Raw genomic sequence first — 12488 nt, forward strand, 5'->3', positions numbered from 1 at the left:
AATGCACGTGACCAGGAACTCCTGAGTGTTACGTATCTTTTCCGTTATTGCACAACAAATTATCTTAAATTCAGTGGCTTTACCCAGCACACATTTATCATCTCAAAATGTCTGTGGGTCTGCTCAGCTGGGTTCTCTTCTCAGGGTCTCATAAGGTGCAATTGAGGTATCTGTCAGGCTGAGATCTCATCTGGAAGCTTAGCTGGGGAAGATTCTGCCTCCAAGCTTGTTCTGGTTGATGGCAGAATCATTTTCCCTAGTGTTTTTGGACTGAGGGCCCCAGATTCTTGTTGGCTAATGGTTTGAGTCTGCCCTCAGTAACTAGAGGCCCTCACCATTCACAGAGCCCTTTGTGGGCTTTTCCAACGTGGCCACTTATTCCATCAAGCCAGCAAGGAGAGTTTCTAGTTAAATCTGCTAGCAAGAGGAGGTCTCCTAAAATCCAATGTAATCCTGGGAGTGACAGCTCAACCCTCTGCCATATTCTGTTGGTTAGAGGCAAGTCACAGGTCCTGCCCACGCTCAAGGGAAGGGACTGTACAGGATGTGAACAGGAGCTGGGGATCATGGAGGGTCACCTCATTGTTTGCCACTTTGTCCATGGATGGGAGAGACATGGAAAAATAGTTGAAAAGCCATCTCCAAGGGACAAGCATGGCAATATGAGGTAAAAGTATATTCAACATATATTCTAGCATGGAAAGCCAGATAAGACATGTAAAAGATTAGGAGTTTTGGCAATGTGATGGGGAAAATAAGTTTTCCAAATGCACCCATTAATCACTTCACTAGTGTTGCTTCTTGGTAAATAATTTCATTGGTATAACTCTGTTGGGATAGTCCCTATCATCTATTTTAGACGTCTTAGGGTGAAATAGGGAGACTCAAATAAGCCAGCCTGACAATAATCCTCAACATGTATTATCTGGGGTATTCTTGAAAGATTTTATTGGCTTTGGATCTGAACATCGAGTGGGCACAGTGATTGGCCAAAGAATATTTTAGTTGATTGATGTCTCCACTTTCAAAAAGAATGGAGTTGGTGAAATTCTGGAAAGGGGAAAGATCTAAAATTACTTACAATTTAATAATCAAAGACCTATATGAAATATCAAATACATGCTAGGTGCTAAAAATCAGATCACAGATATCCAATTCATCAATAGCCTCCACAATAAGATGTCTATCCACTAAACACATAGAGCTTTGGCCTCAGTTGTTCCTCCTGTGGCCTAACTAACCTCCCATCCCAGCATTTCCCCTGCGAGAGCTGCTGGAGACTCTTCAGAGCTGCCCATGCAAGGGGGTTATGCATCTTCATCTCAGTCTTGTCTCCCCACAACACAACCATCTGCTCTGCAACACACACCTTGGGCGCCAGGGACAGGACACTGATTGGGATGTGAAATTGAGTCTGGGGACATTTTCTCTTGACATCTCAGAATTCATCACGCTTCCAAAACAATAAAGACAAACATGCCTATTTATCAGGAGCCCAACTAGCATGGCTGCAAATATTTGTTTCCTTAATTCTGAGACTTCCAATATGTTTGATAGTGACTGAAGCCAGTCTACTTGAGTGACAGCTTCTGCAAAGCCAGATCCCACAAGGTAGGTGATGGTGAGAAGGCCCTGTTGCCCCACCATAGACCAGCAGAGGACATGCTGATTTCTATCTGTCCATAGAAACAAACATGTAAGAAAGCAGGCAGATCCCCTGTCACAAACAAAGGGGACCGAAGCTGCAAGAAAAATCTGTCAAGCCAGCCAGGGTAGAAGAGGTGGAATGTGGAGGACAGATAGATAAACATTTCATTTCAGGCTTTGAAGATGGACCTTTTAGACGTCCTTGACCCTTTTTGGTTTGTTTGTTTGTTAGTTTGTTTTCTGAATGCAGGGGTGTTTGGGGAAACATGGTACCATTTTGCAAAAAGTAAGTATGAGATTTGTGTTAAAAGACAGCCCCAGGTCTAAACGCTAGCTTTGCCAATTATTTGCTGCCCGCCTTTCAAAAAAACCCACTCTTATCCTTTTAAATCTGTTTTCTCATCTGCTTAGAAGGGAAATTTTTAAAAAGTACTTAATCTCCCAGGGTTATTGCAATAGGAGCATGTTGGGATCAGCACAGTGCAGAAGTGTCCTACACTTTGCAGAACTGCAGGACTAAAGCCAGCCTTGGTCCGTCACACACACTTTAACTCTCCCTGTGCCTGGAAATTGAAGTCTGTGATGAGAAAGGGACTGGGCCAAATTCTCTCTACCAGGAAGACTCAGTATGGGTAATGCCTCCTGTCCATACCTGACAGGCAGGGAAGACAGAGCTGAAAAGCACAAATGCCCACAGCCTTGCCTGTGGTTGAGGAGCCTGATAGCTGTGGGTGGGGCTGAAGGGGAGAGGGTCAGGCCTAGAGCAGGTACAGGACTGGCTGGGGCAACTTCACCCTCATTCCCTGAAAGGACCCCCCAGACCCAGCCATTGACAGCTCCAATTTAACCTACAGCCACCCCTAGATGTGTGTGCCACCTCTTGTCCTCTGCTGCTGGGCAGCAGAATGGCCTACTATCTCAGGTGCTCAAACATGTTGCAGAGGAGAGAGATGGCAGTGGAGATGGCCATGGGGCTGGCCAAGGGTGCTCAGCCATTCCCATGCATATCGGGAGGTCTGTGCCTGTGTATTGGTACAGCCCCTCTCTCTGTGCATCCAGAAACTTCATGGACATATTTGTTTACTCCATTTGCCGATATGCAGTTTGCATAATATTGAATCTGGAAAGGACACTGCATCCACTGACAGGAGTTTTCCCAGCTGGAAAAAAGAAAAAAAAGAATGAAAGAATCCAGCTTTACATTTGGGGGTAAAAATAAAGACACCAACAGTATGTGCCAGGCTGTCTGACGGATGGTTCATGGCATGGGGAAGGCCACGTCTACGGTCAGGTCATGCTCCCACATCCAAAGTACTGTTGGATGGCTTTCTCGAAAACACTCTTGGCAGCTCCAGGGATGGCTCTTTTGGTAAAAAGGATGTGCTGGGACAAAACATGGGCCTTCAGCCAAGACGCATTTCTTCCTTTAAAATGGAAAACACGCACATGTCAGGATGCAAAGAGCCAAGCCTCTCCAAGAGTGGAGGTATCCCCCTCCTTAGCATCCCTGGAGGAGGAGAGGACAAGAATGAGCTGGGCTTTGACCTGAGATGCCCATCAGGGAGCAAACAATGCATAGCAGCCCCTCTGCCCCGGGGCAGGCTTTTCCATCAGGTGCCTTTTGCCAGCTTGCTTATATTCTCAGATAGCTTAAATACCTAGCTCAATCACAGGGTACAATGAGGCCCTTCCAAACTTGTAAAAGCAAAGGCACAAAAGCACAATGCCAAGGTCAGTGGAAGGAAGCCCACCAGGGTTATGCTCCACAGGCCCCAGACAGCCATTCTCTTGGATGCTCTCTTCCCACTTAGACCAACAGCGGCCCCTTCTCGTCACAGACCCCTCCTCCTCCCACTGCAGTCGCTGGTGAGCAGTGGGGACTTACGCCTTGTCAAAACATCACTCTATGCATGATCCCCTGGGCCCTTCTTATGCAGTTTGTAGTCCCTGGAGCAACATCAGCATCCCCTGACAGTTGGTTAGACATGCGGTCCCAGGCCTCGCCCCAGACCTGTTGACTCGGGAAGGAACTGCTGGTTCAAAGATGCCTGGGTGACTTGTGTGCTTACTAATGAGATAATAGTGCATGCTCATAATTGGACATGGATGCCTTCTTCAGGGTCCTGCACCTGAGGAGAATGGATAATCAGCAAGGCAAGAAAGAGGAAAGTACCCCCACCCCAGGTCACAGCCCTGAGCTTAGGTAAAATGTACTTTGGACTATAGGCCCCATGAACCCCGGATCCCAGTTATCCCAGCCATCCAATCTCTATAGTAAGGAAGCATCCGCTCACAATCCCGCCCCATCTTAAAACCTTCCCAGAAGAGGGCAGACTGTGGAAGAAAAATCCAGGATGATTTATGACCATGTTTGAAAGTTCAAATGAGGGGGAAAAAATCATATCTGGGATTCTTTATTGTGAATTTCTCAATCTTTAGCCAGAGTTTGGCTTTACCTCCTCCAAGGACAAAAGTTCAGGTCCTGTGCACTCAGGGTTAAGTTTGAAATTAAAGATAGCTGTGTCCATTGGTGGGGACATCCACTGCCCAGGCCACACTGCAGGAGGGCTGGCCCAGAATCAGAGACTCTAGCCGGTACCTTCGCTTGGTTCTTTCAATGCTGTTGCTCTTGTCTGTTCCCTGGAATCTGCAGAATGTATGAGCTCATTCCTGGGCAGATCACCAAGCTCTGCAGATGCCTCAGAGACAAGCGCTCATCAGAAGCAAAGTAGCCCTGCACACTAGCAAGGCTCACAAACCGGAAGCCTCCCTTAACATGTATTGTGATGATGACAGAAGGGCCCATCACGACCCATCAGTGGTCATTAAGCACAACTGTGTGCCCACAGTGTTATTCTGGGAGAAGCATTTCTCCACAGGCTCCCCACCAGGACCTCAGCCATAAATATTACAGCCATCTCACTTTGTATAGTGGGCGTGGCACCTGGAAACGCCTGTTCTGTGATTTTACCTGGTGCTCTTGTGCTTATAACCTTGCAAGAGCAATGGGAACAGAATTGTGTTTACTATAGACATGACATACTTTAGAGTTTGTTTGGCATCGTTCACATAGATTGTAGAATTGCAATTCTGGCCCATCACATGCATTTAACATTCATCATGCTTAGAAACTAAAGCCCAGGATGAGAATTGGACTTGAATAAATACCCAGAAATGGTATTGCTGGATCACATGGTGATTCTATTTTTAATGTTGAGGAACCTCTGTACTGTTTTCCATAATGGCCATACCAATTTGCATTCCCATCGACAGTGTACCAGGTTCCCTTTTCTACACATCCTTGCCAATGCTTATCTTCTTGTTTGTTTTTTTATAACAGCCATCTTCATAGGCATGAGGAGATATCCATTGTGGTTTTTATTTATATTTCCCTGATCACTGATGCATGTCTTTTTTGGAGAAATGGCTGTTGAGGTCCTTTGCCCATTTTTTATTGACTTAACTTATTTTGTTTGGTTGGTTTTTTGCTATTGAGTTGTATGAGTTCCTTATACATTTTGGATATTAACCCCTTATCAGATATATAGTTTGCAAATATTTTCTGCCACTCTGTAGTTTTTTTTCATTTTGCCAATTGTTTCCTTTGCTGTACAGAAGCTTCCTAGTTTGACACAACTCTGCTTATTTTGGCTTTTGTTGCCTGTGTTCATGCTGTTATATCCAAAAATGTATTTCCAAGACCACTGTCACAGAGCTTTTCTCCTGTGTTTTCTTCTAGAGGTTTTATGTTTTCAGGTGTTACATTTAAGTCTTGAGTCCATTTTGAGTTCATTTTTGTGTATGTTATAAGGATCCAATTTCACTCTTTTGCATGTGGAGATCCAGTTTTCCCAACACCATTTATTGAAGAAACTATTCTTTCACCAGTTTGTACTCTTGGTGCTCTTGTTGAAAATCAGTTAACCTTACATGCATAGATTTATTTCTTGGCTCTTTATTTTGTCCCATTGGTCTGTGTGTCTATATTTATACCAGCACTATACAGTTTTGATTACTTTAGCTTTGTAATGTAATTTGAAATCTGGAAATATGAGGCCTCAGCTTTGTTCTTGGTATTTATTCAGAGGAATTTAAATCAGCATTAGAATCTCAAAGACATAACCACGCTCCCATGTTCATTGCAGCATTATTCACAATAGTCAAGAAAGGGACACCATCTGAGTGTCCATTGACGGATAAATGAATACATAAAATGCAGTATATGTATACAATAAAATATTATTCAGCCTTAAAAAAGAAGAAAATCCTGCCATGTGTAATAACATGGAGGGACCTGTAGTACATTGTGTGAAGTGAAATAAGCCAGGCACAGAAAGACAAATAGTGCATGATCTCACTTATATATGGAATCTAAATTAGTCAAACATATAGCAGTAGTAGAAGGGTGGTTGCCAGGAGGTCAGGGGAGAGGAAATGGGAAATGGGGATAGGATGGTCAAAGGGTACAGTTTCTGGAGATCTACTATACCATATACAGCTTATAGCTCACGACACTGTATTGTATTCTTAAAACTTGCTAAGAGGGTAGATCTTATGTTAAGTGTTCTTACCACAAATAATAATAATAATAGCAAAGGGGGCATGGAAGCCTTGGGAGGTGATGGGTATGTCTGTGGCCTTGAGGAGGGAGATGGTTTTATGGATGGACACTTATTCCCAAACTCATCAAGTTGTATACATTAAATATACATATAGTTCCTTACATGTCAACCATGCCTCAATAAAGTAGTTTTGCTGTTGTTGTTGTTGTTGTTGTTGTTGTTTTTTGAGATGGAGTCTTGCTCTGTTGCCCAGGTTGGAGTGCAGTGGCACAATCTCGGCTCACTGCAAGCTCCATCTCCCAGGTTCATGTCATTCTCCTGCCTCAGCCTCCCAAGTAGCTGGGACTACAGGCACCCGCCACCACGCCCGGCTAGGTATTTTTAGTGGAAACGGGGTTTCACTGTGTTAGCCAGGATGGTCTCGATCTCCTGACCTCGTGATCTGCCCGCCTCAGCCTCCCAAAGTGCTGGGATTACAGATATGAGCCACCACACCTGGCCAATAAAGTAGTTTTAAAATAAAAAAGAAGGGGACTTGGACAGGTAAACTGTGCAAGTTTTGTTTTGTTCTTAAGGGCACAACAGTCATAAGGTTACAGCTGTTTTACATTTTCTTTCAGGCAAAAATTATTAGAGCAGATTTCACCGTATAAAGCTGTGTGGCCTTGGTTATCATTGTCCCATGTGTTCAGGTAGATCCAAAATGACTTTCTGAAGAGAATCTTGGCCTTACCCACAGGTACATCCTGGCTTATCTCCAAAAGGAGATAAAAGAGCTTTCTATTCAGGCAGGAGTTCTTGTAAGGTGACACAATTTTGACAAGAGTATGTTAATCTTACTCCCACCTTGGGTGACTGTTAAAACATGAGGTTCTACACCTCCCCACTTCCCTGCAACAGAGAATATTTGCACTCCTGCTAGCTGTCAGGGAACATAACCTTGAACTTGGTGCCACTCAAACCGTTCAATTCCCCTTGATTGAGAGGAATTGTGTTTAGGGAGTATTTCCCAACAGGGAATTGTATTCGTTAAGGTAATGCTAGCTGTTCTAACAGATAAATACTGAATTCCCAGTTGCTTAACATAATGGAAGTTAGTTTCTCATGTACATCACAGTCCAATTAAGGTTTTCCGGCTCCGTATCCTTCCCCCAGGCCTCCAGGAGCCCAGGCTTCTTCTTTCCTGCGACTCCACCCTCCTGTGGGTCCTGATATCCTTTTCCTTCCAGACAGCAGATAGGGAAAAAGGGGTTTTAGAGGGAACACATTTACTTTCCAAACACTTCTGCCCACATTCAGTCTCGAGGCCACACCCAGTTGCAATGAAGGCTGGGAAAAGCACTCATGGTAAGTGTTGAGGAGGGAAAGGAGACAGGCTTTGGTGAACTCACAGTAGTTCTGCACAAAAATGCATTGATCTAAATCATTTAAACTGACCCCAGACTAAGCCAGTTTATCTGAGTGCTGAGTATCTGGGAAGCATTGCATGCTTCACAATAGCTATAGAATAGCTAGAGATAAGCCCTCAGTCTAAACAGGGGCAGGAAAGGAAACTCTGGGTGCATGGAAGGGTAGGGAGGATTTTACATCAGTGTCCTGCTGAGGATAGCATCGAGACTGGATGATGTCTCTTTTCAAGAAGTTCAGATAGCCTTCTCTCAGGCCTCTGAATCTAAAACAGTAGTGTCCCCCACCCCGCTTCTAGCTCCTGCTTGTTTTTGTTTAATTACACTGTGATTCCTGTAACCACTGTGCTTCCCTCTTGGCCTAGGCTGTTGGGAAGCTTAGACTGCAATCAATACAGCCCATCTCTAGCAATTAAGCAAGACCCTAAGGGATGCACTTTTTGAACCCACTTCATACCTGATTCCATTCATCTTTCCTATTCTTACTTCCCCTCTGCCTCATGTTTTGGAGTCTTTTATGTCATCTTGCCATCATCCAACTATCTTTGTAAACTACATCTCATCCATTCAAGGAATAAAATGGAAAACAACAAAATAAATAAATAAATAACAAAAGACTGATACACAGAATATGGGACAGTTAAGATGCAGGAGCCACTAGAGAAAATTGGAGACACTTTCCATTTTCCTTCTCTTCTTGCCACAGTGTTGGCCTTATGGGTGTGGCTTCTTCATTGTGGTGACTCTTAGTGAGCAAGGCTCTTCCTTGGGCTCCAGGCATCTGCTGCACACACAGGGTTGGGGCAGTCTTCAAGAAGACACTTTCCCAGCTCGCAGAATACCCACAAACTGTAGGAGAAGCCTTCTCCAATTTCTCAAGGGGATGGGAATCTTTGGGTTGCTCCCTGATGTACGGGGGTGGTAGTGTCACTGGTATGTTTCCCACTGTGTTTCTCCCTGTGTCTGTGCATCATGGCCACACCTCTGCTACCCAGCAGCTCTTTTAAAAGCCCTACCTTCGAGGTCCTTCTGAGCTCCATGGGCAGTTTAGCCAAGGGGCAGCATAGCCCACTGGTGAAGAGCAAGACTTAAAGAAGCGTTGCTCAGCATGGTGGCTACTAAGCACTTGAAATGACACTAGTCTGAACTGACATGTGCTGTAAGTATGAAATACACACAATTTTGAAGAGTTAATAGGAACGAATATATCACATTAATACTTTTCAATATTGATTACATGTCAAAATGGTAACATTTTAGATTGGTTAAGGAAAATAAGTTATTACAGTTAATTTCCCTGTTTATTTTTAAAATGTTTTTAATGTGACTACTACAAAATTGTAAATTATGTACTGGGCTTGTCATCGGTGCCTTACATCTTATTTGTATTGTGCAGTGTTGTTCTAGAGTCAGACTAACTGGATCTGAATCTTACCTCAGCTATTTGATAGCTGTGTGACTTTGGCCATGTTATGCAATCTCTCTGGGTCTTAGTTTCTTCATTTCTGTTTTTTTAAAAATGGGGAGTATAGTGGTTGTAAGGATTAAATAATTAAATTTGTAAAACAATTGCAACAATGACTAGTGCACATTAAATGCTAGATAAGTGTCAAATAAAATACAAATTAGGAAGTGTCCTTCTTTCAGTCCCCCTTCCCTGGGGCATTCCAGGGCCTGAGATGCTCTCTCCTCCCTGTGTGAGTGCTGAGTGCATCCAGGAGAAAGTGCCTCTGTGGGCTGAGAAGACAGGAAACAGAACTGTGAAAATAAGAGTACACCCATCCCTGGATTGATTACCTGTAGATGCAGAAGTGATCACCCACGGCAATTCCAATCAGAAGCAGGAAATTAATTAACAAGGAGAAGAGGCAGGTCAGGAATGGATAACCAAGTGCCAATACGGTGGAAATTGTGAGTGTGGAAAGTTACCAGAGTTGACCAAGGAAGAAGTCACCTGTGGAAACTTGCCCCTGAATGCTATGGCCCCACACCCCTCACCCTGCCCTTGGCTGAGCTGACCATGGGCCTCATCTGAGTTCCTTCTAGTTCTGTCTCTAGGGCCTGAATTACCAGCCATTCGTCTAGATAAACTTTCCCTCAACTGCCCAAGTTTTACTCACCTGTACACTTATCATGTGGTCGGTGGGAAATAATTACTTTCTCACTGGAGGACACTTACTTATCTGAGGTCACATTTTTTTCAGTGTTTTACAAACAGGTGAAAATGTTGCTGCCCCATCATGCCATGGCCCATTTTCCATCATTATCACTTTTTGGCTTTAAGATGGGTGCTTTATTCTGATCAGACATCCAAAGTGAAAGATAAATAATCACCAGGAGTCACTGCTTCAGACATGATCACCTAACACCTGGGTAGGAATTAAAAAGACTAGAATTAGAGGGGAAGGGACCAGATACCAACAGGCACCAAAGATCATTTTGCATTCATCTTCCTTCTTAGGAGAAGGCCTTCACAGGTTTCCCCCACCGTCTTCAGTTCCACCTTGACCCTCTTCATCAGACATTCAGTGAACACGATGTGCTAGAGATGGACACACTCCAATCCATTTGAAGCAGGCTCTCTTCCCACTCTTACAGAACAAAGGCAGACAAGAGCTCACAGCCTGAGAAATTGGGATCTAAACTCTTATATCAAGATCCCCAGGCACCCACGTGTGATACCTTTTCCATCTTCCTGCCCAAGTTATCGTTTGGCAATGACAATCCTCAGGCAGAGTACAAAGGCATTCGTGTGTCTGGCCTTGTACTCCTTTTGCTCTCAGATGGGAATAATAATTCATGCTATGTCATAGTTTTATCACAAAGTGCTAATAAAACAACACGCATGAAAGTGCTTTGACATAGTGCTTTGACATCAATGAGGTTCAAAGGACAAAGAATAAACCCGCATGTGTCCCTTATGTTTTGAGACTCTGTGTAATTAGCATTTAAGAAAACCCTGCCTGACCTGCTTTTCCATTTCTCCCAGTGAGGCACTGCAATATTCTCTTCATCGTTGGTAATTTTAAATTGTCAACTGGGCCACAGTTCTCAAGGTCACCTTGGTGGCCTTCTTCTGGCACCTCTCATATGGAATTTTCTCAGCCCCCTCCTCTTGCAGTAACCCAGACACTCTCATCTTACCTCCCACATACACTTTGCTTCTTAGTGGTAGCACCTGAATCTGATTTACTCTAACATCTGCCTTCCCTCCTGACCAACAGTGCCTAGTACAGTGCTGTGAATAGAAAACACCAACAAATATTTCCCAGAGAAAAGAGCAATACAGTCTCCAAAGAAAAAATAAGCTCTTCTGCATCTTTGGCTATGGTTTAAAAAGTACAAGGTCAGCTCTTACACACATGCACACACACACACAGACACACTTCATTAGGAAAAACAGGGGCTGTGGGCTCCAGTTTACCTGGAATTGTATCTAATCTCTCACCACAAAGCTTCTGATGGGCACTTGGTCATTAAGGTGTGGCCTGATGTCTTGGAAAAGCCTGAGCTTCGTGTTAAAAGGGAGAAAGTGAGGATTCCATGCCTCTGCCTGCACTCAGCTCTAAGTCTTTGTTAGAGAACAAAGACTTTAGGGAACTGTCTGCCTGTATTGTGTGGGTTCTGTTTTCAAGGACAAAAAAATATTAAGGGGAAAAAGTCATTTTGAGAATTTTCTTTAGTAAAATTAAATCTTACCTAGAGCAACTTTTCTTTCTCAAGCAGAGAAGTTCAATCACCCACCCCCAGCCCTCTGAATAGCAACTAAGAAAGATAAAACCATTTTTCTGCTCTGAGATTATTAGCGATCAAGGGCACTAACGAGGGGGCATATGAGCAGCTGGCTTACAGATGTGTATTTAAGATGCTTGAATCTGCTGCTTAGGAGAAACTGGGAGGGGCTGTCTGGGAAGGAAATGGGCAGTGGGTGAAAATGTTCTGAGTACACATGACGACACCAACACCTCGCTCATGGAGAACACGTGAAAGAGCAAGAACGCACAGTGTCTGACCAGGTGTACCTGACAATCCATATACTTGCAACATCAATCATGGTGTAGCATCCTGGTGAGCTTGAAAGAGGCCCTACCCTGTCCCTACAGCCCAAAGGGGCTCAAGTTCAGGTCTGGTGGTTTTTCTGTTCCAGTAGCCCACCTTCCACCACCTCCTTTACCTTCCAATATGCCCCGCCCCACACGCCTGCACCCTGCCTGTCCCCTAAGGTTCCTCCCTCTCACCATGTGACTTGGCCAATTTATGTCGTAAGCAGCCACACTTTCCCTTCTGGGAGGCATGGGGCATTCAGCGCTCCTGTATCATTCCTTGGCCCCACGCGCAAGCTCTCAGCCTTCTTTCCACACAGCACAGCCCAACAACCTAGTACTTTTTGTCTTGCACCTGCTATACTGGGGGTTCTCACTCCATTCCTATCCTCTTCATCCTCTTTCAATCCCTTAACAACACAGGCCTCAATGACTTCAAGAAACCAACAAAGAGTGGCAAAGACTCCCCAAGTAAATTATAGAAGAATTCAGTAGAAGACACAAAGGTTCAGTTACATTCATAAGGAACCCATTTATTCATCAGCAAAAACTCACCAAAAGATCCATGAAAAGAATTCAGAGGTCCAAGGAACCTTGATGAGAAAAAAAGGCTCTCTTTATTTTCACAACCTTCTCACTGAACTCTAGCATTTCCTTCAATTATGAATGCAGGCAATAAACCACAGTTTCAGCAATATCTATGATTTGCCAAAGTAGAAATCAGATTTTTTAATATATTATGATTGTTAAGGATTTTTTCAAGCATATGACAGTTATTAGACCTCCAAATAGATCTTGCTTTGTAATGACTTAATAAAGAAGCACACATA

General features: G+C 43.9%; 1 long non-coding RNA gene across 1 annotated transcript; it reads right to left on the reverse strand.

Annotated features, from left to right (window-relative positions):
* Positions 1-926: 926 nt before the first annotated feature.
* LOC124908057 (uncharacterized) lies at positions 927-4921 on the reverse strand. The gene is made up of 2 exons (XR_007088666.1): positions 3533-4921; positions 927-3071 (listed from the first exon to the last, which is right to left on the reverse strand). It is a non-coding gene; the product is annotated as an uncharacterized LOC124908057 (long non-coding RNA).
* Positions 4922-12488: the final 7567 nt, after the last annotated feature.

The sequence above is a fragment of the Homo sapiens genome, chromosome 2 (genome assembly GCF_000001405.40).
Source record: "Homo sapiens chromosome 2, GRCh38.p14 Primary Assembly".
In the NCBI taxonomy this organism is placed as follows: Eukaryota; Metazoa; Chordata; class Mammalia; order Primates; family Hominidae; genus Homo; species Homo sapiens.